The following is a 25,710-nucleotide window of genomic DNA, read 5'->3' as shown; positions in this document are numbered from 1 at the left end:
TTGCAAATGAATAAAAAGTATCAAATATGCAATTAGTATGCATTAGCTCAGTAGAGAGTGATGATGATCTTGTGAGATGAGCAATAGCATGTAAATTTTAGAGAGTAGATAGATGAAGTTTATAGATGTCATGTATCTACAAATGGGAGAGCAGGATTCAATTAGACTTGTCTGTAACAGGGGCTACAAAATTTTTGTATTAGAAGGGTTAGGGCAGCCCTTTGATGGAAATGTAAGCAGGAGACTTTCTTGAAGCTGTTTGCATAGCTACCTCATGCCTTTTCTGTTTTTCTTTTTCTTTTTCTTTTTTTTTTTTTTGACGAAGTCTTGCTCTGTTTTCCAGGCTTGAGTGCAGTGGTGCGATCTCAGCTTACTGCAACCTCTGCTTCCTGGGTTCAAACAATTCTCCTGCCTCAGCCTCCCAAGTAGCTGGGACCATAGGCGTGCACCATCATGCCTGGCTAATTTTTGTATTTTTAGTAGAGACGGGGTTTCGCCATGTTGGCCAGGTTGGTCTCGAACTCCTGACCTCAAGTGATCTGCCTGTCTCGGCCTCCCAAAGTGCTGGGATTACAGGTGTGAGTCACTGTGCCCAGCCTCATATCTTTACTTAGTGCATTTTGGGTTAGATTGACGGGGGGATGGAGATGGGGGGGGCGTTGAAGACCCCACTGCAAGCTACTTCTTAGGCTGCCGTTTCTTCTGTGACTCTAAGATCCACTCTTTCAATTGATATGTTTTCCAATGTGAGATCCCAGGAAGAAAATTTTAAAGACAAATCTGCAATTAGTAGTTTTTTTTTTTTTTTTTTTTTCATTTAGAGACAGGGTCTCACTTTGTTGCCCAGGCTGGAGTGCAGTGGTGTGTTCACAGCTCACTGTAGCCTCAAATTACTGGCTGATTTCTAAAACACTGTTTGTAGAGACAAAGTCTCACTCTGTTGGCCAGACTGGTCTTGCCCTCCTTTCCTCAAGTGGTCCTCCCACCTTGGCCTCTCACAGTGGTGGGATAGTAGGCATGAGCCCTACACCCAGCCAATTAGTAGATTTTTGGTTAACAGATTTAATGAACCCAAACTTCTACTCTCTGCCAGTGTTTCTAGTTCATTCTGTGCAAACACCCCTAGCACACTTAGGATCCAGCAACATCTGGGGTTTTTTTTCTGTCTTTCCAATGTCCTGCTTTCTCACTTCTAGGTCTTTCTTTGCACATGCTTTTCCCTCCCCCTTCCACCGCTGCATTCTTTCCTCCCTATATCCACTCTTCCCCTGGCTAACTCCTATGAAGCCTCAGCTTCAATGTCACCTCCTCCAGGTGGCCCTCCTGCTCTCCCTCCCATGTCATCCTATTATAACCCTCATCACACAGCCATCTTCAGGAAGGCACTCTGTAGCCCAAGCCTATGCACTCGAATCTTGACTTGCCTGATTGCACAACTTTGGGCTGCCAACTCTCTCAGTGTTTGACTTTCCTCGCCTTTATTTTTATTTGTATTTTTATTTATTTATTTGTTTTGAGACGGAGTCTTGCTCTATCGCCCAGGCTGGAGTGCAGTGGCGCGATCTTGGCTCACTGCAACCTCCACCTCCCGGGTTCAAGTGATTCTCCTGCCTCAACCTCCTGAGTATCTGGGACTACAGGCCCCTGCCACCACGCCGAGCTAATTTTTTTTTGTATTTTTAGTAGAGACGGGGTTTCACCATATTGGCCAGCTGGTCTTGAACTCCTGACCTTGTGATCTGCCTGTCTCGGCCTCCCAAAGTGCTGGGATTAAAGGTGTGAGCCACCGCGCCCGGACTTGCCTCACCTTTAAATGGGGACAATAGTGGCACCTGAGCCCTTGAGATAAGGTTCAGGTTCAGAGAGAATACCTTTCAAGTGCTTAGAGCCAGCCTGACCTGCAGGGAACCTTCCATCCATGTCAACTCATGTTGTTTACAGTAATAGAAGAGAGACTGTGAGCAAGTTGGTTGCCACAGCACCCCAGCACATGGCATAGTGGCTATAAATATTTGCTGGACAAATGAATCTGCAGTTGCACAGACATATTAAGTGTACTGCTCCCGACCCTCATCACCTCGTGTCTGGACTCTGACATGGGCTCCTGTCCCTCAGCCCTGCTTCTACCCTTGCTCCTTTTTAAACCAGCCAGAGGGCTCTTTTCCAAGTTGAAGTCAGATCATGTTGCTCTTTGAGTTTCCTGTCTCACTTGGAATAAAAACTAAAGTCCTTGCAATGAACCCCAAACCCCTACGTGGTTTGGTTCCCAGTATCCACCATGACCTCATCTGCTACCTTCCCCTTGCTCACTTGGCATCGGCCACATTGGCCCCTGGGGTACTCCCCAGACACACCAGGAATGCTTTCGCTTCAGAGAGTTTGCCCTGGCAGTTTCTTCTGCCTGGACCATTATTCCCAAAGAAAATTGCCTACTCACTCCTTCACCTCCTTCGTGTCTCGCACTAATGCCACCTTCTCAATAAGGCCTGCATGGACCACTCCATTTAAAGTTGCAACCCTGTCCACACTCCCCTCCAGTACTCCCAATTCTCTTCCCCTGTTCAAATTTTCTTTTTCCCGTATCATGAAACACCTTCTAACTTAACACTGTAATTAATTAATTTATTATTATGCTTACTGTTTATTTTCTGACTTTCCCTTCTAAAATGTTAGCACTACAATGGTAGGGACATTTGTTTATTTGCTGACATATTCACAAGCACTTATAACAGTACCTGGGCCTGGCATGGTGGCTCATGCCTATAATCCCAGCACTTTGGGAGGCCAAGGTGGGAGGATTGCTTGTGCCCATGAGTTCGAGACCAGCCTGGGCAACATGGCGAAACCCCATTTCTACAAATACTACAAAAATTAGCCAGGTGTGGTGACACAGGCCTGCGGTCCCAGCTACTCGGGAGGCTGAGGTGGGAGGATCACCTGAGCCAGAGAGGTCAAGGCTGCAGTGAAATGTGATTGTACCACTGTACTTCAGATTGGGCGACACAGTGAGCCTCTATCTCAAAAACAAACTAACAACAACAAAAAACAGTACTTGGTACACACAAGGTGCTTAATATATATTGTTAAATAAATGGTTACCTATAGATACACACTTGCATGCTTATGCACAGCTATACATAATTACTGTTTATAGTTACTATGGTTTAATAGGGGCAATTCTTCCAGGTGAGAAAAGCAGACGTTTCCAGTTGCAGTTTTGACATAATGTCCTAGAAAGATTTCATTTAAATAGATTTTTTCAATAAAAGAGGCATTGCACAAAGTCCCTTATTGGTGCAGCCTCAACATTTTCTTTGGCGGTTTGGATGCTCTGCTGTCTAGGCTGTGGCCCTGTGCATGTGGTCTTGATGGAATGTCCCGATTAGTTATGAGATGTTCCCGAGGAGCCTGGGGGAATAGCTTGTCAGTTCAAGTCTCACCACGGAAGGTTTCTCATTAGCAGTTCTCTTGAAATTCTTCTTGGGCCGTCTCTATCCTCCGGCGACTCAAAACAGCATGCTTGCTTATAGTTTCTTTTGTCAATCTTTTTCCTTATCGACTGCTAAAAATAAAGTGGTTATTTCTTAAATTATGATGACAATGGTCATTTTGACTAAATATTTCCATCCTCACTCCAACAATTATGTGGCACATATAATAATTTTTGCCTGACCTCTGTTAAAAATAAACTATGATAGGAATATGTTAACTGTGTAGAATAAGTTACAAGGCAGTAGATTTGGGCTCATTATAAGAAGTTTTAATAAGAAGCTGAGAAGAATATAGAATGAGCTGACTCTTAATATATAGAATTTCCTATTCAGTGGAGATGATTTATATGAAAAGCCCAGAAAAGGCAAATCTATTGAGGTACAAAGAAGATGAGTGGTTGCCTGGAGCTGAAAGTGGGAGTAGGGAGTGACTGCAAATGGCAAAAAGGCTTCTTTAGAGGAGACAAAAATACTCTAAAATCAGATTGTGGTAGTGGTTGCACAACTCTGCAAATTTACTAAAAACCATTGAATTATATGCTAACGTGAGTGAATTTTATGGTTTGTGTGTTAGTTTGCTAGGGCTGCCATAATATAGTTTCACAGACTGGGTGGCTTAAACAGGAAAAGTTTTCTTACAGTTCTGGAGGCTGAAAGTCAAGGTGTTGGTTGATCTACAGAGTTGGTTCTGTCTGAGGGCTGGGAGGGAAGGATGTGTTCCAGGTCCATGTCCTTAGCTTATAGATGGCTGTCTTCTCCCTTTGTCTTCACATCATATTCCTCCTGTATGTGGCTGTGTTCAAATTTCTATTTTTGTAAGGACACCAGTCATATTGGATTAAAGCCCACCCTAATGACCTAATTTTAATTACATATAGATACACACATGCATGCTAAAGATGTTTAGATGTTATGTCCAAACACAGTTATTTTCTGAGATACTGGGGTTTAGGACTTCAACATATGTATTTTGGAGGGAACACAATTCAGTCCATAACAGTATGTAAATTATACCTCAATAAGAAGCATGTTAATATATATATATATCTTTTTTTTTTTTTAAACAGAGTCTCACTCTGTTGCCCAGGCTGGAGTACAGTGGCACAATCTCGGCTCACTGCAACCTCTGCCTCCCGAGTTCAAGCGATTCTCCTGCCTCAGCCTCCCGAGTAGCTGGGACTACAAGTGTGCACCACCATGGCTGGCTAATTTTTGTATTTTTGGTAGAGGCGGGGTTTCGTCATGTTGGCCAGGCTGGTCTCCAACTCCTAGCCTCAAGGGATCCGCCCACCTCAGTCTCCCAAAGTGCTGGGATTATAGGCGTAAGCCACCACACCTGGCCAAAAATAACATATTAATTGAGCATTAACTAGGTTCTAAGTCCTATGCTAAATACTTTACATACGTCTCTCAGTTGATCTTCTGAATAACACCATGATGCAAGTATGATTATGACTACTTTAAACATGAGGAAAGTAAGGCACAGAGAGGTTGAATAACTTGCCTGTGATCACAAAGCCAGTGTGCAACGGAGCCACGATTCAAACCAAGTAACTTGACTCCAAAGCCTACACTGTTAATCCCTATGCTAATATCTACAGTGTCTAGATATGCCAGGCAGTGTAAGTCAGCCGTCTGATATATATATTAAAATCTCGATTGTAAACAAGAGAAAACCGAGCCTCAGCGAAATCCAGTAACCTACTCAAGTTCACAGAATCTGAAACTGGGGTTCTCTAAGACCTAAGTAGTTTCTAAATATTATGGCATTTCTAATGATGTGTAACTGTGAGTCTCACTATTTTTGATGGGCGAGCTCTAAGACAGGAAAAGGCCCCTGACACACAATAGATGCTCCAAAAATAGCTGTGAGAGGAATGAGAGCATATTGAAAGGTCTAGTCTGTAGTTTTAACTTCACATTGATGGACAAGGAATCTACTCAGGCTGGAGCGATGAGCTGCCTCAAGCCTGCAGTTCTGGAGACTACTTGGGCCATAGGCTGGGGGATCATCAATTGTATCACCATGATACAATTCTCTGGAAGGTGCCTCTTGACTGGAGAAATTTGTCTGAGGAAATGGGCATCCTCACAGCCTGCTGGTGCCAGGGCAAACTGGAGTAAACTTTTCACAGGGCAACCTGGCAACATGTATCAAAAACTTCAAACACATGCATGCACACACACACGCACGCACATGCGCACATCCTTTATTTCCCAATAATTTCTGATCTACAAATTTACAAGTGTTAACACCTCCCATTTGGCAAGCTATACTCAACCTACAGCAAGCAAAGCATTTATACCATTACAATCTCTCTCCCGTCATCCACACTGAATTCACTCATCTATAAAAATGAGAAATTAGTATCAAATCTAAAGAAATGTAAGATGTTACTAGCACTAGATCAACACTCTCCTTAGTCTCAACTTTTCAAGGGTCACTAGTAAGTTCGAAGGATCTTTGATGACTCCGATGATCTTGTAATGCCCAACAGTATCTCCCAGGAGTAGTTTTCCCAGAAGATTGTAAAACTCAAGATCCTCTCCACATAAGACACTCTTGATAGTTCTCTTCCGATTCAGCCCACCACCCCAGTGGTTAACATAACAATCCGTAACTCATAATAATCAGTGAGAACCATTGTTAAGACAAAAAGTGGCCAGGCACAGTGGCTCACGCCTGTAATCCCAACACTTTGGGAGGCCAAGGTGGGCGGATCACCTGAGGTCGGGAGTTCGAGACCAGCCTGACCAACATGGAGAAACCCTGTCTCTACTAAAAATACAAAATCAGCCAGGCGTGGTGGCACATGCCTGTAATCCCAGCTACTCAGGGGGCTGAGGCAGGAGAATTGCTTGAACCTGGGAGGCAGAGGTTGTGGTGAGCTGAGATTGCACCATTGCACTCCAGCCTGGGCAACAAGAGCAAAAGTCCATCTCAAAAAAAAAAAAAAAAAAAAAAAAAAAAAAAGACAAAAAGTATTTGTACTTAGAATACACTACTGGACCACTGGTATCAGGAGCTTCCATCTGCATCATGACATTCTCAGTGCTATGGTTCACAATATCCTGCACGGAGTTTTCTGGGCCCTTCACAAGTCCAATTAAGAAAGTGACAACACTGCAGGACTTCACAGTAGCTATCCAGGAAATAGGGATATGGCAAACAATTCCCAGCCTCAATATATGCTAATCCTGAAAAACAAACAAAAGAATTCTAGATCAAAAGTGTCTCTTATAATATTTTTCATAAAATACAGGCCCATTTTTCATTTTATATTAAATTAATTAATATGTATTCAGCACCTACCATGTACCAGGGACTGTGCAAAGTACGTTCCATACACTTTCTCATTTAGTCCTCAGAGGAGGAAATGGAAGCTTAGAGAAGTTACTCACCCTGCAAGTAGGTCTGTCTGATGATAAAACCTTTGCTCTTAAAGGGAATTCCTAGCTATTCATGGCCTTAGTTGTGAACGTCTTGAGCCGTTCCTATTCTCAATCATTCTTGATTCTAGAAAAAAAAAAAAAAAGAATGTATAAATGTTAAGAGAAATTGGGCCAGGTGTGGTGGCTTACACCTGTAATCCCAGCAGTTTGGGAGGGCAAGGTGGGAGGATTACCTGAGGCCAGAAGTTCAAGATCAGCCTGGGTAATATAGCAAGACCCTGTCTCTACAAAAAATACAAAAATTAGCCAGGTGTGGTGGTGCATGCCTGTGGTCCCAGCTACTTGGGAGGCTAAGGCAGGAGGATCACTTGAGCCTGGGAAGTCGAGGCTGCAGTGAGCTGTGATCACACCACTGCACTCCAGCCTGGGTGACAGAGCAAGACCCTGTCTCAAAAAAAGAAAGAAAAGAAAAAAGAAAAATTGGAAACAATCTAAATGTCTAATAATAAAAGAATAATTATGGTATAATCATAGAATGGACTAATATGCAGTTCTTGTTGATCATGTTTTTAATTATTCTAGAAAAAGTTCATGACATATAATATTAAGTGAAAAAAGCAAAAAATAAAACCAGTTACATGGCCGTTCACAGAAAAAGAAATGCAGATGAACAATAAGTACAAAAAATACTCAATCTTACTCAGAATTTTTAAAAATGCAAAGCAAAACAATAAAATATCCAGCCTGGGCAACATGGTGAAAACTTATCTCTATAAAAAAATTTAAAAATTATCCAGGCATAGTGGCATGCACCTGTGGTTCCAGCTACTTAGGAGGCTGACGTAGGAGAATCACTTGAACCAAGGGGGTGGAGGCTGCAGTGAAACACTTTTGTGCCACTGTACTCCAGCCTGAGCCACATAGTGAGACTTTGTTTCAAAAAAACAAACAAAATACTTAAACAAAATTGATGTAATACTTTCATCAGTGAGATTTGCAATTGAGTTGGTCAGGGTGTACAGAAACAGGTACTCTAACGCACAGTTGTTGAAAGCATTATTAGGTACAAACTTTTGAGAGAAATTTGACAATATTATTAAAAATTTAAGATGCATACTCTCCTTGACCTAGCAATTTTACTTCTAGAAATTTGTCCTATAGAAATGCATACATATGCAAAGATGGTCATTACACCACTGATTGTAGTAGCAAAATAATTGGAAACAAATGTTTATCAATAGCCAATGATTAAATAAATCATAGAACATTCATATAGTGGAACATAGGCAGGTTTTAAATGATGTAGAGTTGTATGTGCTTATTTGCAAAGTTAGCTACCTCAGTCAAGATCCAGCCAGGAACACAAAACTCATATCAGATAATTCAATAGGTGGAATTTATATAGTGGTCCTCCCGTATTCACGGTTTTGCTTTCCATTTCAGTTTCAATTACCTGTGGTCAACTGCAGTCCAAAAATATTCCATGGAAAATTCCAGAAAGTTTCATAAAGTTTTAAATTGTACACTGTTCTGAGTAGCAGGATGGAATCTCTTGCAGTTCCACTCCATCCTGCCCAGGGCATGAATCATCCCTGTGTCCAGCAGATCCACGCTGTCTGCATTACCCGCCTATTAGTCACTTAGTAGTCAGCCTGTTATCAAATTCACTGTCGTAGTATCACAGTGCTTGTGTTCAAAGTAACCCTTATTTTACTTAATAATGGCCCCAAAGCGCAAGAGTAGTGATGCTGGCAATTTGAATATGCCAAAGAGAAGCCGTAAGTGCTTCTTTTAAGTGAAAAGGTGAAAGTTTTTGACTTAATAAGGAAAGAAAAAAAACTGTACGCTGAGGTCACTAAAGGTCTTCTTTAGTAAGAATGAATCATCTATCCATGAAATCGAGACCAATACATTGTTATAATTGTTCTATTTTATTATTAGTTATTGTCGTTAATCTCTTACTGTGCCTAATTTATAAATTAAACTTTATCATAGACATGTATGCATAGGAAAGAACATAGTGCTTATAGAGTTTAGTTCTATTTGAAGTTTCAGGCATCCACTGGGTGTCTAGGAATGTATCCCCCACAGATAAGGGTGGGAACTACTGCATAGGAATCAATTACAAAAGTTTAGAGGCAAAACTATTTGTATCCAGAAAGTGGTGATCTGGGTACATGGGCTGCCCTGCAGGCTTTGACACAGGCAGGTGGTGAGTGAGAAGAGCAGAGACAAGATTACTCTATCCAAGGCCGTATCTTCCTCTCTCTCTCTGCTTCTTTCTGTGTATCAACTTCATTCTCTCTCTATATACCAGCTTTCTGCTCTTCTCCATGCACATAGCTGTACCAGCTCTAGTTCAAGAATTAGCAGTAGCTGAAGATAATCCCAGGAGACAGTCTGATTAATCCGGATTGGGTTAAGCACCCACCCAAGTCTAATCAAGGCAGAGGGAAGGGTCACATAATATAAACATGGCCACAGAACCCACCTATGTGAGTGGAGGGTTGCAGTTCTCACCAGAGGAACCTAGAATGGAGAGATCCTATCTACTATTGACAACATGGGTGTCTTAGTTCATTTTCAACTGCTAAAACAGAGTAACAGACTGGGTAATTTACAAAGAAAAGGCATATATTTCGCTCATGGTTCTGGAGGCTGGGAAGTCCCAGGGTATGGCACTGGCATCTGCTTGGCCATCTGGTCAGGGTCTTCTTGTTCTATCCTCCCATTCGATGAAAGCAGAAAGGCAAGTGAGTGCAAGAGCCAGAGAGAAAATGAGGGCCAAACTCATCTTTCATCAGGAGTCCACTCCCACAATAACTAACCCACTCCCAAAATAACTAACCCACCTCTGAGAAAACAGCTTTAATCCATTCAATGAGGGCTCTGCTCCCAAAGGTCTCACCCAACACTGTCACAATGGCAACCAAATTTTAGCACGAGCTTTGGAAAGGACATTTAAACCATAGCAACAAGCAACTGCATTGGTACTAATGCCATCTAACAGAGTAGGAAATTCATGATGGGGAGAAGATTGAAATAGGAGATAAGTTAAGCTTGGAACATGCTCAATTGAGGTGCCTGCAGAACACCCAAATATATCATTTAGGAGGTAACAGAATGGAGAGTCTAGAGCTCAGCATGGGAATTTGGGCTGGAAATCTAGACTTGTGACAATTAGCGTGAAATTGTGTTTGAAACCATGGGTAAGTAAGGGGAAAAGAAGATGGTTCAGAATAGAACCTTAGAGAATAAGACACATTTACAGAATGAACAGAGGAAGAGGAAATGCTGAAAGAGACTGAGAAGAATTGGCCAAAAGGACTGGAGGAAAAAAAAGAAACAAAAAAATCATGGTGAAAGAGAGAGAAGAAAGAGAAAGGAATTTTCAAGTAAAAGAAAGTGGTCAATTTTGTCAAATGCTTCTGAGAGGTCATATAAAATAAGCCCTGAAAACTGCTTGTTTGGATGTGGCCTCAAGAAGATGTCTGATAATTTGGGTATCAAAGTGAAGGAAGAAGCCAAATTGCAATGCACTTAGGAGGTTAGGAAATGAATTCCTCATGATGCAATTCCTTTGCCACATTCATGAACAGGTAGGTGACAAGCTTTGCATAACATTAAATAGAAGAAATAAGCCATTGTGCTTGTATGTCATGGTTCTGCAAATTCTGCCCCCTCTTTTTTTCTTTTTTTTTTTTTTTGAGACAGAGTCTTGCTCTGTTGCCTAGGCTGGAGTGCAGTGGCACGATTTTGGCTCACTGCAACCTCTGCCTCTCAGGTTCAAGGGATTCTGCTGCCTTAGCCTCCCGAGTAGCTGGGATTATAGGCGTGCGATACCACGCCTGGCTAATTTTGGTATTTTTAGTAGGGACAGGGTTTTGCCATGTTGGCCGGGCTGGTCTTAAACTCCTGACCTCAAGTGATCTGCCTGCCTAGGTCTCCCAAAGTGCTGGGATTACAGGTGTGAGCAACCACACCTGGATGCAAATCCCTTTTAATAGGGTAACTTGAACTAATCTTGTCAGTTCAGAACATTTACAAAGGCCAAATCTCAGGTTTTTACTTTGAATTCACAGAGCAAATCACAAAGGTCCCCTTGGGGTTGGTGATTCTTATACAGTCCCAGTCTAGAGAAACATCAGAACAGGGGCCAGCTAGCTACAGTCCTTGCGCTGCATCTGGCCTGCTGCAAGGTTTTGTATGGCTTGTGAATAAAGAATATTTTTTACATTTTTTCAATGTTTGAAAAATAGCAAGCCGGGCGTGGTGGCTCACGCCTGTAATCCCAGCACTTTGGGAGGCTGAGGTGGGTAGATCACTTGAGGTCAGGAGTTCAAGACCAGCCTGACCAATATGGTGAAACCCTGTCTCTACTAAAAATACAAAAATTAGCCAGGCGTGGTGGCACATGCCTGTAATCCCAGCTACTCAGGAGGCTGAGGCAGAATTGCATGAGCCCAGGAGATGGAGGTTGCAGTGAGCCAAGACTGCACCACTGCACTCCAACCTGGGTGACAAAGCAAGACTCCATCTCAAAAAAAAAAAAAAAAAAGAAAAGAAAGAAAGAAAAATAGCAAAGGAAGGAAAATATTTTGTGATACATGGCATTATATGGCATTCAAAATTTCAGTGTCTATAAATAAATTTTATTGGAACTCAGCACTCATCTATGTCTGACTGCCTTTGTGCTACAATAGCAGAGTTTAGGATCTACGACAGAGACCATAAAATGCTTACTATCTGGCCCTTTTCAGAAAAAGTTTGTGGATCCCAACTCTAGAAGACTGGACAGAGCAGTCCTGGGACTTTAGGTTGCTCTTTGGAGATACAAAAATAGCTTAGTTATGGTCACCAAACCTCAACAAAAAGCATACTATATATTTGTCTAACCTCCTAAAATTTTAGGTATAGGAACAACCCTAGCATAATTAGGCCCACAACGAATGGCCCCATTTTAGGCCAAATCTAGGGGTTTTCACTTTTGACATGTAGTGAGCTATGTATTTATTTGTGATATCTTGGAACACAACTGGACCAGACTCTGTGCCTGGCATTGAGACAGGCTAGAATAGAGAGAGGAAAAGCCAAGATCTGTAACTAGACTTAGGCCCTGGTGTGGAATAGTTCCAGGACGGGCCCTGGAAGTTAATTGGCAGGGAACAGTAAAATGCCATGGAGCACTTCCCAGATGAGAGGCTTACCAAGGGCTTTACACACACTTACCAAGATAAACAAGACTAACGCCTCCTCTTTCACCAAAAAGCTTACCGTCTGAAGAATGGGAATACAAATCTAGGGTTAAAATCCTAGGTTCACAGCTGCATCTGGGAGATCACCCATTCCAGTTTTCCCTTTCTAGGTGAGCTGAACACCGTGAAACAGAGGCAAGCAAGATGCTAAGGTAGTTTAGAGGAGGGTGAGCTTACTTGCTGGCAGGCAATTTCAGCCTGGAAGGAAGGAAATACTTTAACAAAAGAAAGTAGAACGTGTGAGAGACAAGAAACCTCAGAGTACATTTAAGGAACAGCATGAAGATCCTACTGGCTGAAATGGATGGTGTATATGAACTAATTTTTAACTTACAAATTTACTTTTAATTTCCAGCTCTGCCCAACAGGAGGTCTTTTTAGGTTCAACTAAACATGAACTCACAATCTAGACCACACTCAGATACTTCAGCGGATACTCCAAAGGAAGCATAGATTGCCATCGGGCCATGGGCATGTCCTTCCAGGACTCCCTGCAGCAGTCTACCTAGCAGCACTGCTTAGGTTCCCACAGCAAGATCCTTACTGGCCACCAAAGGTCGAGTTCTCATGCAGAAAGGGAAACAGTTTTGCTAGCCCTTTACTCATGCTCCCCAACACCAGCTCCAGTTTCACTGCTTTCCCCCAAAATAACTCCTGGTAATATTTTTCTGAGAATTTACATGAAATTATGTAGACATAGGTAGACATTTGGTTTATATCTATTTTTTCACTATTAAAACAAGCAATGAACATCCTTACACATGAAAGTATTTCCTATCAGTGAAGTTACTTGATCAAATGGTAAATTTTCAATTTTTTTTTTTTTTAAGAGACAAGGTCTCACTGTGTTGCCCAGGCTGGAGTGCAGTGTCTATTCACAGGTATGATCCCACTACTCATCAGCATGGGAGTTCTGACCTGCTTCATTTCTGACCTGGGCTGGCTCACCCTTCCTTAGGTAACCTGGTGGTCCCCTGCTCCCGGAGGTCACCACATTAATGCCAAACTTAGTGTGGACACCAGATCAGCATAGTGCACTACAGGTCAGAATTCCTAGACTTGAGCGATCCTTCCACCTCAGCCTCCTGAATAGCAGGGACTACAGGCACGCACCACTGCACTCAGTAAATTTTAAATTCTGATAGGTAATATTAAGTGGCTATTACTCTTAATGCACACCAACAATGTATGAGTACCAAGTTCCTTTCACTCTCTGTGGCTGAATATTAGACATCTTTAAATTTTGTCTTTATAATGAACCAACAATTGTCTTGTGTTAATTTGCATTTCTCTGATTACTAGTGAATTCATACATCCTTTTTTTTTTTTTTAAACTTTTTAAATTGGGCGGGGGGGTCTTGCTATGTTGCCTAGGCTGTTCTCAAACTCCTGGGCTCATGTGATCCTCATGCCTTAGCCTCCCAAAGTGCTGGGATTACAGGCGTAAGCCACCATGCCTGGCCATATACCTTTTCAAATATTTATTAATTACCATTTGTATTTTTTGTATGTGTGAATTACTTGATCATATTCTTTGCCCATTTTTCTATTGAATTTTTTTCATCAATTTGTAGGAGATATACATATATATATATATGGCATACATATTAATGTATTGTTTATATACACACAATAAATATTTCTATTTTATTGAGTATTATTAGATATGTAATGGAAACTATTAAAAACTTTTGATCAATACAGCTTGGTGGCTAAGTGAATGTTAGGGCTTTGTGTGTCTCAGCTCTATGACTTCCTAGTATGTGACCTTGGGCAAAGCACTTAATCTCCCTGAACCTGTTTTGCTAAGTGGGGATAAGAGATGTACTCACTGGCTTGTCTTGAGTATGGGGCACATAAAGTATTCAGTAAATGGTAACACTAAGCTTTTTTTTTTTAATTGAGATATAATTCACATACCATAAAGTATACAAGTCAGTTGTTTTTAGTATATTCACAAGGTTGTGTAACGATCACCACTATTTAATTCAAGAACTTTTCCATCACCGCCACGTAAAAAAATTCTGCACCCAGTCACTCCCCATCCTCCCTTCCCCACCCATCTCCTGGCAACCACTAATCACTTTCTGTCTCTATGGATTTACCTATTCTGGATGTTTCATATAAGTGGAGTCATACAGTAGGTGGCCTTTGTGTCTGGCATCTTTCATTTGGCATGTTTATAAGATTCATTCTGCATGTTTAGCACATCATTCATTTTTACTGCTGAGTAATAATCCATTGTATTGATACACCACATTCGATTTATTCATTCATCAGTTGATGGACATGGGGATTGTTTCCAATTTTAGCTATTCTGAATGATGCTCCTATAAATATTCATGCACAAGTTTTTGTGTGGACATGTTTTCAATTCTCCTGGGTATATATCTAGAAGAATTTTGAGGTCATATGGTAACTCTATGTTTAACATTTTAAGGAACTCTGAAACTTTTTCTACAGCAGTTGCATCTTTTTACATTTTTACCAGAAATATATGAGAGTTTCAATTTCTCCACATCCTCATCAACACTTACTATTGTCTGTCTCTTTTATTGCAGCCATTCTAGTGGATGTGAAGTGTTATCATCATTTTGATTTGTATTTCCAAATGATGTTAAGCATCTTTTTATATGCTTATTGGCCATTTGAATATCTTCTTTGGAGAAATGTGTATTCAAATTTTTTGCCCAATTTTTAATTGTCTTTTTATTGTTGAGTTGTAAGAGTTCTTTATATATTCTGGATACTCGACTCTTGTCAGATATATGAGTTGCAAATATTTTCTCCCATTTCGTGGGTTTGTTTTTTTTTTCTGACTTTTTTTAGAATGTCCTTTGAAGCACAGAAGTTTTTTTGTTTGTTTGTTTGTTTTTTTGGGGGGGACGGAGTCTCACTCTGTTGCCCAGGCTGGAGTGCAGTGGTGTGATCTTGGCTCACTGCAACCTCCGCCTCCCGGGTTCACGCCATTCTCCTGCCTCAGCATCCTGAGTACCTGGGACTACAGGCACCCGCCACCATGCCCAGCTAATTTTTTGTATTAGTAGAAGCAGTGTTTCACCATGTTAGCCAGGATGGTCTCAATCTCCTGACCTCATGATCCACCTGCCTCAGCCTCTTAAAGTGCTGGGATTACAGGCGTGAGCCACCACACCCGGCCAAAGCACAAAAGTTTTTAATGATGAAGATCAATTTGCCGTTTTTTTTTTTTTTTGAGACAGGGTCTTGTTCTGTTGCCCAGGCTGGAGTGCAGTAGCATGATCCTGACTCACTGCAACCTCCATCTCCTGGGCTCAAGCGATCCTCCCACCTCAGCCTCCCAAGTAGCTGGGACTACAGGTGCACACCACCATGCCCAGTTAATTTTTATATTTTTTTAGTAGAGACAGGATTTTGCCATGTTGCCCAGGCTGGTCTTGAACTCCTGGGCTCAAGCAATCCACCCACCCTGTCTCCCAAAGTGCTGGGATTACAGGTGTGAGCCACTGCATCCAGTCAATTTGTCTATTTTTTATTTGGTTGAGTGCACTTTAGGTGTTATATTCCCAAGTATTTTATTTTTTTAGATGTTATTATAAATGAAATTTTTTTAAAATTTTTATTTTCAGATTGTTCATTGCTGGAGTATGGAACTAATTGATTTTTGTATATAATCGTTCATCCTGCAATTTTGCTGCATCCATTTATTACCTCTAATAGTTTTTTTGTGTGTGTGTGTGTATTCCTTAGGGTTTTCTTTACACAAGATTATGTCATCTCCAAATAGAGATCATTTTACTTCTTTCTTTCTAATCTGGATGACTTTTATTCTTTTTGCTTGCCAAATTGCTCTGGCTAGAACCTCCCACACAGTGTTGAATAGATGTGGAAAGAGTGAACAGCCTTATCTTTTTCCTAATCTTATGGGGAAAGAATCCAGTCTTTTACCACTATGTATGATGCTTCCCACTGAGGAAGTTCTCTTATATTACTAATTCGTTGAGTGTTTTTTTAATTATAAACGGGTATTGGATTCTGTCAAATGATTTGTCTGCATTTATTGAGATGATCATGTGTATTTTGTGTCCTTTGTTCTATTAATATAGTCTATATGTTAGTTATTAAGGCTGCCATAACAAACTACCACATACAGGTATTTGGTATTTATTTTCCCACAATTCTGGAGGTTATAAGTCTGAGATCAAGTTGTGGGCAGGATTAGTTTCTCCTGAGGCCTCTCTCCTTGGCTTGTAGATGGGTGTCTTCTCCCTGTGTCTTCATATGGTCTTCCTTCTGTGAGTGTCTGTGTCTTAGTCTCCTCTTACAAGGACACCAGTTGTATTAGTCCATTTTCATGCTGCTAATAAAGACATACCAAAATTGGGTAATTTATAAATAAAAAGAGGTTTAATGGACTCACAGTTCCACATGGCTGGGGAGGCCTCACATCATGGTGGAAGGTGAAAGATGAGCAAAGGCATGTCTTACATGGTGGCAGGCAAGAGAGCGTGTGCAGGGGAACTACCCTTTATAAAACCATCAGATCTCATGAGACTTATTCACTATCTTGAGAACAGCACAGGAAAAACCAGCCCCCATGATTCAACTACCTCCACTGGGTCCCTCTCATAACAAGTGGGGATTATGGGAGCTACAATTCAAAATGAGATTTGGGTGGGGACACAGCCAAACTATATCACGAGTCATATTAGATTAGGGCCCAACCTAATGATTATAATTACTTCTTTGACACTATCTTCAAAAACAGTCACAGTCTGAGGTACTAGGGGTTAGGGCTCAATATGTGAATTGGAAGAGGGACACAATTCAGCTCATAATAGTGTATTACACTTATGGATTTGTATATGCCGAACCAACCTTGCATTCCTGAGATAAATCCCAGTTGATAATGGGACTTATTATCCTTTTTATGTTGCTGGATTTGGTTTGCTAGTATTTTGTCAAGGATTTTAGCAGATGGCCAGCATTATTATCTTCTTTATTCTTACCATTCAACACGCTTTTACATGTGCTATGTCATTTACCCTTTAACAGAATTCCATGAGGTAGGTAGTATGTTTACCACAGCAAACTGAGGCTCAGGAAAGTTTATTTTCCCCTAACTATAAACTCGCAGTAGTATATAGTATAAATTGGAATTAAAATTACAGATGGTGAGAACATTTAGGGAGATGAAAGAAAGCAGGATTTGGTGAGAACAAAGAGAAACTTTGTATGGATGGAAGTTTACAGAATCAATTTGAATAGCATCAGTGATCTCAATGATGTAAGAACTGAGGTCATCTGCTGATGTGCAAAATAAGAGTAAATAGGTTCATGGTTTCAATTCATGAATGTAATTAAACCAAATAGGAGTGACAATTCTCATTAATTTTGAGAACATGACTTAACCAGATTAACTCATGTTCTCATTAATTTTGAGAACATGAGTTAACCAGATTTAACTCATTAATCATGAGAACATGATTTAACCAGAATGAGCCAAAATTTTAATAATAGGGATTGGACTATAACAGTAACAGTAAACCTCAGCTTACAGATTTCTTCTTTCTTGGAAAGTTTGTTTCCCAGTTGATTTCCAGTTTGCACACTCTCCTCTAAGCTTTGGGGGAGCTGTACCATGACTGTTCAGTCAGGAAATGCTGAATTAAAATTGAATCTCTGTCCCAACAGATTGTGTGACTCTGAAAGTCATTTAATTTCTTCATGGCTCTACTCCCTTATCAAATGAGGGAATTAAGTTAGATGATTAGCTCCCAGCTTTATGACTCTATTCATTTAGTGAATAAGCAGACTGGTGATTCAGTAGACTGGAAATTTTCAGACAGCAACAATAAAGAATTTACTAAGGGTAGACTAAGGAATTACTAAAGAGCAATGAAGCCGTGTTGAGGGTAGAGAACAGTTAACTCAGGATAGCCAGTGAAAGTGAGAAAGAGTAAACAGATTAGGGTGGAGATCCAGGAGGGCTACCTAGAGTTGGGGATTGACATGAGGCGTATTACATAAGGTTACTGAAATCTAGGTGGTCAATTGGTTAAAATTTATCTTAAGTAAAAATAACTAAAAATAATTTAAAAGCCAGATCAGAGAGTCCAGGCTGGGGCAGGAGATAGATGAAACTCATACCTTTAACTGCCTATTTTTACATTAGGACCATAATGTTATTTATCCGAGTTCACCGGACAATGCACTGAAGAGCAAGGACCTTACCCGTAAGTCCCTTCAGTAAAGTTCCTGAAGGAGTCCTGGCCCTGGTCCCTTACATCATTTACAGGTCATGTTTAATTTCTTTGAACTGTCACATGATACTTCATCATAGGAGGCAATGTTCTGTTAATCAAGACATCTGTTTTTCCTTTTCATTTAATTTTTAAACTATTTTTATTCTCTTTCACTCAAATGAAATACATTCTTATTTTTTAAAAAGCTAAATATTTAGATACATAATGAAGATAGTTAGTCCCTAAAATTCTTCCTGTTAAGTTTGGTGATGATTCATTCCTCCAAGTTACTTTTCTTTGCTTACTAACATATTACTTATAAAAATTAAATCATAAACACTGTTTTTCAAACTGCTTTCCCTCCCCCACCAACAAACCAGCATAGATCTGCTTTATTCATTTTGACAACCACAGAGGATTCCATTGTATCATGATATATCATATTTATACAGCTTCTATTGATAGACATTTGCCTTGCTTCCATTTTTTTTTCTATTTTTTATTGTAAATAATGCTGTAATGAAAATTCTTGTACATATCTTGCATATTTGGATAAATGGTTTGTAAGTAATACATTTTTTCTTATTTTTTTCCTTTTCCCTTCTTCCTTCTGTGAAAATAAATAATATATTCCTAAAACTCTACTTGCTTTCAATAAAAAAGTAAACAAGTGTGAATTTTAAAAGTGAAACTGTTGAGTCAGTCTTTTAGCAGATATTCCTAAATTATCCTCTGAAAACATTGAACTAATTTATAATCCCATCATTGTATGAGGGTAGCTGTTTCCTCACTTGCTATCACTGTCTTTTTTTGTTTTGCTTTGCTTTTTTTAAATCTAAAATTTAAAAAGTAGAGTTAGCAAATAAAAGTATAGTATGTTTAGTTAAATTTGAATTTCAGATAAAAAATGATACTCTATCTCAAGCTAGGCATGGTGGCTCATGCCTGTAATCGCAGCATTTTGGGAGGCCAAGGTGGGCCGATTGCTTGAGCCCAGGAGTTCAAGACTATGGCGAAATTCTACAAAATATACAAAAATTAGCTGGGCATGGTGGTGAAGGCCTATAGTTTGAGGAGCTTGAGTTGGGAGGATCACCTGAGCCAGAAAGGTCAAGGCTGCAGTGTTCCAGCTTGGGCAACAGAGTGAGACTCTACCACAAACAAACAAACAAACAAACAAACAAACACACTATCTCCATCTTCCAGATGGCCTGTTTCTGGTCTCTCTGTTGGTATCATCAGTGATGTCTTCTCTGTTATCAGTTTATCTGTACCATTTATCTCATCCTACATGGATGAGAAATATTTGCTATTTAAATATGCATATTCTTAAGATTTAGTGAGACGAAGCATAAAATTGGTTATTTTTATGTCCTCTTCAGTGAACTGCCTATTCAAGTCTTTTGCTCCTTTTGCCAGTGGTTCATTTGTTTTCCTTAATGATTCATAATAATTCTTTTAATCTTAAAGCTTTAGACACATATATGTCCCACTTTTCCTTTAGGCTATTTTTATTTTTTGTCTCCATTTAGAAGGGTTGCATTTTATGTAATACAATTTGTGCAGTTGTGCCATTATGCCATTTCTCAAATCACCTGGATGCCTTGTGCAAATGCAAATTCCTGGGCTCCATTCTAGACCTAATCAAATGTCTTTACTATTGTACTCTGAACTATTAAGAAGCTCCCTAAGGGGTTTTCTTTCTCCTTTCCTAACTGCCCCCTTTGTTTTTTCCTCCCTCCCATCCATTCTTCCAAACTTCTATTACATTCAATGATCAGTACTGAAGAATTTGCTAGAATTATTAAAATAAAACATACAAGTAAACATGCTAACCATGCAATTGGAAGCTACTGTCATCTTGTGAGACAGTGTGCTGATCCAGTAAGATCAAGATAAGATTGACTTATTCTTCATCAGTTGACTTCAGGGAGAAAAAATGATTTTCTCTGACATTATTAAAAACCTTTTTATGAAAAATCTCAAGCACACACGAGAGTTCAGAAAACAATAAATTCCCATGTACCTATTATCAAGCTTTAATAATTAGCAACAGCCAATCTTGTTTCATCTGTATTTCTACTCCCCCTACCATCCCCTTTCCCCAGATTTAGCAACTCTCAAGAGATTCCTAAACTCATTCAAATTTGAGATCCAAAACTTTATGATTTCTGGGTTTTGCATTGTACTTTCCAACTCCAAGAAAATAATATTTACCTTTTTTTTTTTTCTTTTCTTTATCAATTGTTGGCAGGGGCTGGGTTGAGGGGAAGCAATTTACTCTTTTTTTTTTCCTAGCTGGTACTTGTATGATCTCATTTTCTTTCTTTTTTTAAAAGAGACAAGGTCTTGCTCTGTCACCAGGCTGCAATGCAGTGGCCCACACATAGCTCACTGTAGTCTCAAACTCTTGGGCTCAAGCAATCCTCCTGCCTCAGCCTCCTGAGCAGCTAGGACTACAGGTGGATGCCACCACACCTGGCCAATTTTTCTGTTGTTTGTGTCTTTTGTTTGTTTGGTTTTTTTTGTAGAGACCAGGTCTCACTATGTGACCTAGGCTAGTTTCAAACTCCTGCCCTCAAGAGATCCTCAGCCCCACAAAGTGTTGGGACTACAGGCGTGAGCCACCATGCCCAGTCATTTTCTTTGGTTTTGATCTCAAGAGTTTGAAATCTATTATTATTAAAAAACAAAACAAAACAAAACTGAAGACATTAGGGGTAATGCTAAGGAACAGGTACCTGAAATGTTTTCTAGAGATTTCAAATATCTATGCTTTAGTATTCCATCCAACAAAATTAATACTAGAATTTTCTTACATGTTATTAATGGCTAGCAAGATTTTTATCTACAGTGTTTTGCATTTATGCTACCTGATGTTCATATTTGATATAGTATTAAGTTACTACAATTAGTTAAAGGAAGGAGGTTTGAGAAGTATTTAGGCATGAGCAACAGACAATTAAAAATGCTAACACTTTGAACATGAGAATTAAGTATTAATGAGACAGAAAAGCCCATAGCAGATTACTCATCTGAGTAACTGCTGGTTGACTCAACACCAAGCTATAGTTCCTTAATCTCCTATCTGTAAAATATGAATAACAGCACCAAACACCTACATTGGTTAGAAAAAATGAAACTAATACTTTGATCTTCTTTCAAGAAGTGAGCTGCCTAATTAGCTGAGTTTCTTTAATTCTTCTTATTGTCTAGATGAAGAAATTATCCCTTGGGAAATATTCTCTTTCCACTTATAAAAGAATGGGAAAATCTATCATATGGAGATACCACATTTAAAAAATGCATTCATTAGTTGATGGACATTTTGAATTGTTTCCTTTTTGGCAGTCATGCATGATGCTATGAACATTGATGTACAAGTTTTTGTGTGAACATGTTTTCATTTCTCTTGGGTATATATCTAGGAGTGGAATTGTTGTGTCATTGGATAATTATGCTTAACTTTTTGAAGAATTGCCAAGCTGTTTTCCAAAGTGGCTGAACCATTTTACATTCCTACCAGCAATATATGAGGGTTCCAATTTTTCTATAGCCTCATCAACTTTTTTGGGTATTTTGTTTAAAATTATAGCCACAATGGTGGATGTGAAGTGAAATGCGATACACTTCACATTTTCCTAATGATGAATGATGCAGAGCATCTCCTCATATGCTTATTGACCATTTTGATACCTTCCTTGGAGAAATCTCTGTTCAAATCCTTTGCCCATTAAAAAAATTTTTATTGAGTTACAGGAGTTCTTTGCAATGTCACAGTGAAATCCTACCAAGATTAAAGCCAACAAAGAAATAAGAGCCAATAGAGAGTAAGATTGAGCCATGACCACATATTTTGAACCCTTGTATGCATGCATGAAGTCAGACCTACCTACATGGACTTTAGTTTTATGAACCAATACATTTGAACCAATACATTCGTGGGCAGCTGACTAGAATAATGATTGCCTGTGCCAACTCCTCAAGTAGAATGGGGCTTTTCCCTCATGTTATTTTCCTGATCTATCCCCAGGCCCTATGCGATACTTGGGAAATCTTATCATGATAAGCCTGGCAGGTAGGCATGGGGATAAAAGGTGCAGAGAAAATGAATGATGCCTGGCACAATTGAAAGTACCACCATCAAGCCCCAGAGGGCTCTGGCCGAAATTTCAGACCACAGAGGCCTTTGTACATCCTCCATAATAATTGCAAAAGTCACAACTTTAAAAAATAAAGCCACAAAGTAAAAAGTAACCAATCCATCAGGGCAGACAGATAAAAAAGTATTTTTGTTCCTAGGTTGCCAAGATGGTTCAGCCAACATACCTTTAAAGATTAGGTATTAATGAATGTTAAAAGTAGATGAGTCTAAAAGTAGAGGACTTGCTGTGTGGATTTGAACAGAAGAGGCTAAAGAGGAGAGGGTAGGAGTAGTGCATGAAGCTAATGCACAGCTGCAGCTGCTTCCCATATGTCTCTATGAAAGATTTAATTTTTTTTTTTTTTTTGAGATGAAGTCTCATTCTGCCGCCCAGGCTGGAGTGCAGTGGCGTGATCTCAGCTCATTGCAACCTCTGCCTCCTGGGTTCAAGCAATTCTCCTGCCTCAGCTTCCCAAGTAGCTGGGATTACAGGCATGTGCCACCATGCCTGGCTAATTTTTGTATTTTTAGTAGAGATGGGGTTTTACCATGTTGGCCAGGCCAGTCTTGAACTCCTGACTTCAGGTGATCCACCTGCCTTGGACTCCCAAAGTGCTGGTATTACAGGCGTAAGCCGCCATGCCTGGCCCCTAAGAATTAATATATTTGTATGTGAAGAATAATGACACTATGATATAGGCAGAACAAAACTTAAGATATAATCTTTACCATCAAAGAGCTTCTACATGCGACAATGAGTGCCAATAAGAGATGTGATGTCACAATACTATAAAGATACTTTAACTGTATTGAGGGAGTTCCAGAAAGTCTTCAAAGAGGAAGAAACACATCAGGAGGGAGAAATAGGATCTGTAAACTACATTTATTGAATACTTACTGGACACATCATATACAAAAAAGGATGGGGGCAGGTAAGAACTTGAAGAAATTAAATATACACATTAAGTTTCTTCACTAATTCTAGCCACTAAAGAAGTACAAAATTTGTACAAGTAATACTTTATAATGAAATTTTGATGCCTGTCAAAAGGGTAATAAGCTATACATATACTACAATAAACATTTTTAAAAACTGTGCTTAATATCATAGAATTTTCTTAAAATGGGTTGGTAAAATACCTATATAGCATCCATTCTTACACACATATTTTCCATTAAAGATTGCTTAAATAGTACAAATTCCTATTGCTAAGAAATTCATGGTCAACAGCTGTATATGAAGTTCCTCTAAGAAACATCACAGCATTTGCAGTAAGTCCATTTCTCCAGTGAAGCCCACCTTATTTTCAGTTTAGCTTACTACCAAGTTCTCATGAGAACTGTTTATATGTCTTTTGCTTGGTCATCTTCTTCAAGTTTTCTGATTTCATTTTTTAAACAATTTATAGTTTCACGACTTGCTTTTAATCTCTCCTTAAGCTCTGCAATCTCAAAGCTTGTTTTTTTCTTAGCAGCTTCTAATTTTTCTCTGGTTTTCACTTCAAGCTCTGCAACTAAAGAAAACAAATACTTTTACTAAAGTATTTTTCTCACATGTTTAAGATATATGACAGGGTAATAAATATGGCATTTCCTGACGACAATGTTTCCATGATGAAATGTGGATAACTTAAGAATTACAACATTAAACATGGGTGCAGGTTGGGGGAGGGGAAGAATGTCTGAATTCCCAAGAGAGGATCTAAGATGTTTCCTACAACTAAAAATAAAATTCTGGTCACCAACTCACAGTTAAAATTTTAAGACATAATGTCCTTTTTTCCATACACATATTAAGATTGAAATAAGGGGGCACACAAACCCAAGATACATCAGCTAATGAGAGGTGACTGGGCGCAGTGGCTTATGTCTGTAATCCCAGCACTTTGGGAGGCTAAGGCAGGTGGATCACTTGAGGTCAGGAGTTCGAGACCAACCTGGCCAACATAGCAAAACCTCGTCTCTATCAAAAATACAAAATTAGCAGGGCGTGGTGGTGCACACCTGTAATCCCAGCTACTCTGGTGGCTGAGGCATGAGAATCACTTGAACTTGGGAGGCAGAGGTTGCAGTGAGCTGAGATGACGCTAGTGCACTCCAGCCTGGTCGACAGAGTGAGACTCTGTCTTAATGGGTGGGGGTGGGGGGGAAGCGTTAACTACAAGTATTCTTAAATTTATATACAGGTGAAACTTTTTTTTTTTTTTTTTGAGATGGAGTCTCGCTCTTGTCGCCCAGGCTGGAGAGCAGTGGCATGATCTCAGCTCACTGCAACCTATGCCTCCCAGGTTCAAGCAATTCTCCTGCCTCAACCTCCTGAGTAGTTGGGACTACAGGTGCATGCTGCCATGCCCGGCTAATTTTTTGTATTTTAGTAGAGACGGGGTTTCACCGTGTTGCCCAGGCTGACTGCGAACTCCTGAGCTCAGGCAATCCGCCCTCCTTAGCCTCCCAAAGTGCGGGGATTACAGGCATAAGCCACCAGGCCCGGCCCAGGTGAAACTTATAAACAAAATCACACTATCAATACAAGCCAATATCTTTTTTTCAAATAGGTGGCAATAACTGCTAAAATTTGAATCCCAGCTCTGCCACTTACTAGCTGTGACACTGTAAGCTATTTCACCTATGTTCCTCACTTATGAAACAGAAATGATAATGGCAAATACTTCATAATATTATTTGTTGAGAAAACTTTTGAGACAGGATCTTACTCTGTCACCCAGGCTGGAGTGCAGTGGTGTGATCTTGGCTCACTGCAAACTCTCACTCCCGGGTTCAAGTGATTATCCCACCTCAGCTTCCCAAGCAGCTGGGATTACAGGTGTGAGCCACCACACCCAGCCTGTTGAGAAGACTTAATGAATTAATTTATGTAAAGTACCCAGAATACTGCCTGGTACAGAAAAAGCCCTATCAACTATTGTTATGAGAAAAGAGAAACATTAAGTGATATCTGAAACTATCTATCTATAACAAAGTACTAAAGAAATGTTACTGCAAAACAGGACACATCTATTTAAATATGCCACTTGGATATGTAGCATGATGTTTTACAAAGAAAAATATCTGCTTGTGTCTAACATTTCCATCTTGTGGACATTTTTGGTAACTGCTGCTCACTATTAAAGTACACTTATACTTACTTTCACTAATAAAAGATGGTCACTAATTGGAAGCCAGATGGTTTGGTGGGAAAAAAA

The 25,710-nt window shown here is 39.8% G+C and overlaps 1 protein-coding gene and 1 pseudogene across 8 annotated transcripts in view; both read right to left on the bottom strand.

Moving 5' to 3' along the window:
* YEATS4 (YEATS domain containing 4) overlaps positions 1 to 25,710 on the bottom strand; it is a 67,330-nt gene that overhangs the window by 12,905 nt on the left and 28,715 nt on the right. For 2 of the 8 annotated variants that reach the window (NM_006530.4, NM_001300950.2), the window contains one exon: positions 23,298 to 24,021. In NM_006530.4, the coding sequence (NP_006521.1) occupies positions 23,852 to 24,021 (170 nt within the window). In that variant the 3' untranslated portion in view covers positions 23,298 to 23,851. Of the gene's footprint in view, positions 1 to 3,049; positions 6,690 to 6,893; positions 7,009 to 23,297; positions 24,022 to 25,710 lie in introns of those variants that run through there. The other 6 variants (XR_007063128.1, XR_007063129.1, XR_001748876.2 and 3 more) reach the window with 6 other exon arrangements.
* Positions 12,968 to 13,265, bottom strand: RN7SL804P (RNA, 7SL, cytoplasmic 804, pseudogene; annotated as a pseudogene).

This window comes from Homo sapiens, chromosome 12 (genome assembly GCF_000001405.40).
Source record: "Homo sapiens chromosome 12, GRCh38.p14 Primary Assembly".
NCBI classification, from domain to species: Eukaryota; Metazoa; Chordata; class Mammalia; order Primates; family Hominidae; genus Homo; species Homo sapiens.
This window is presented reverse-complemented; position numbering and strand designations above follow the sequence as displayed.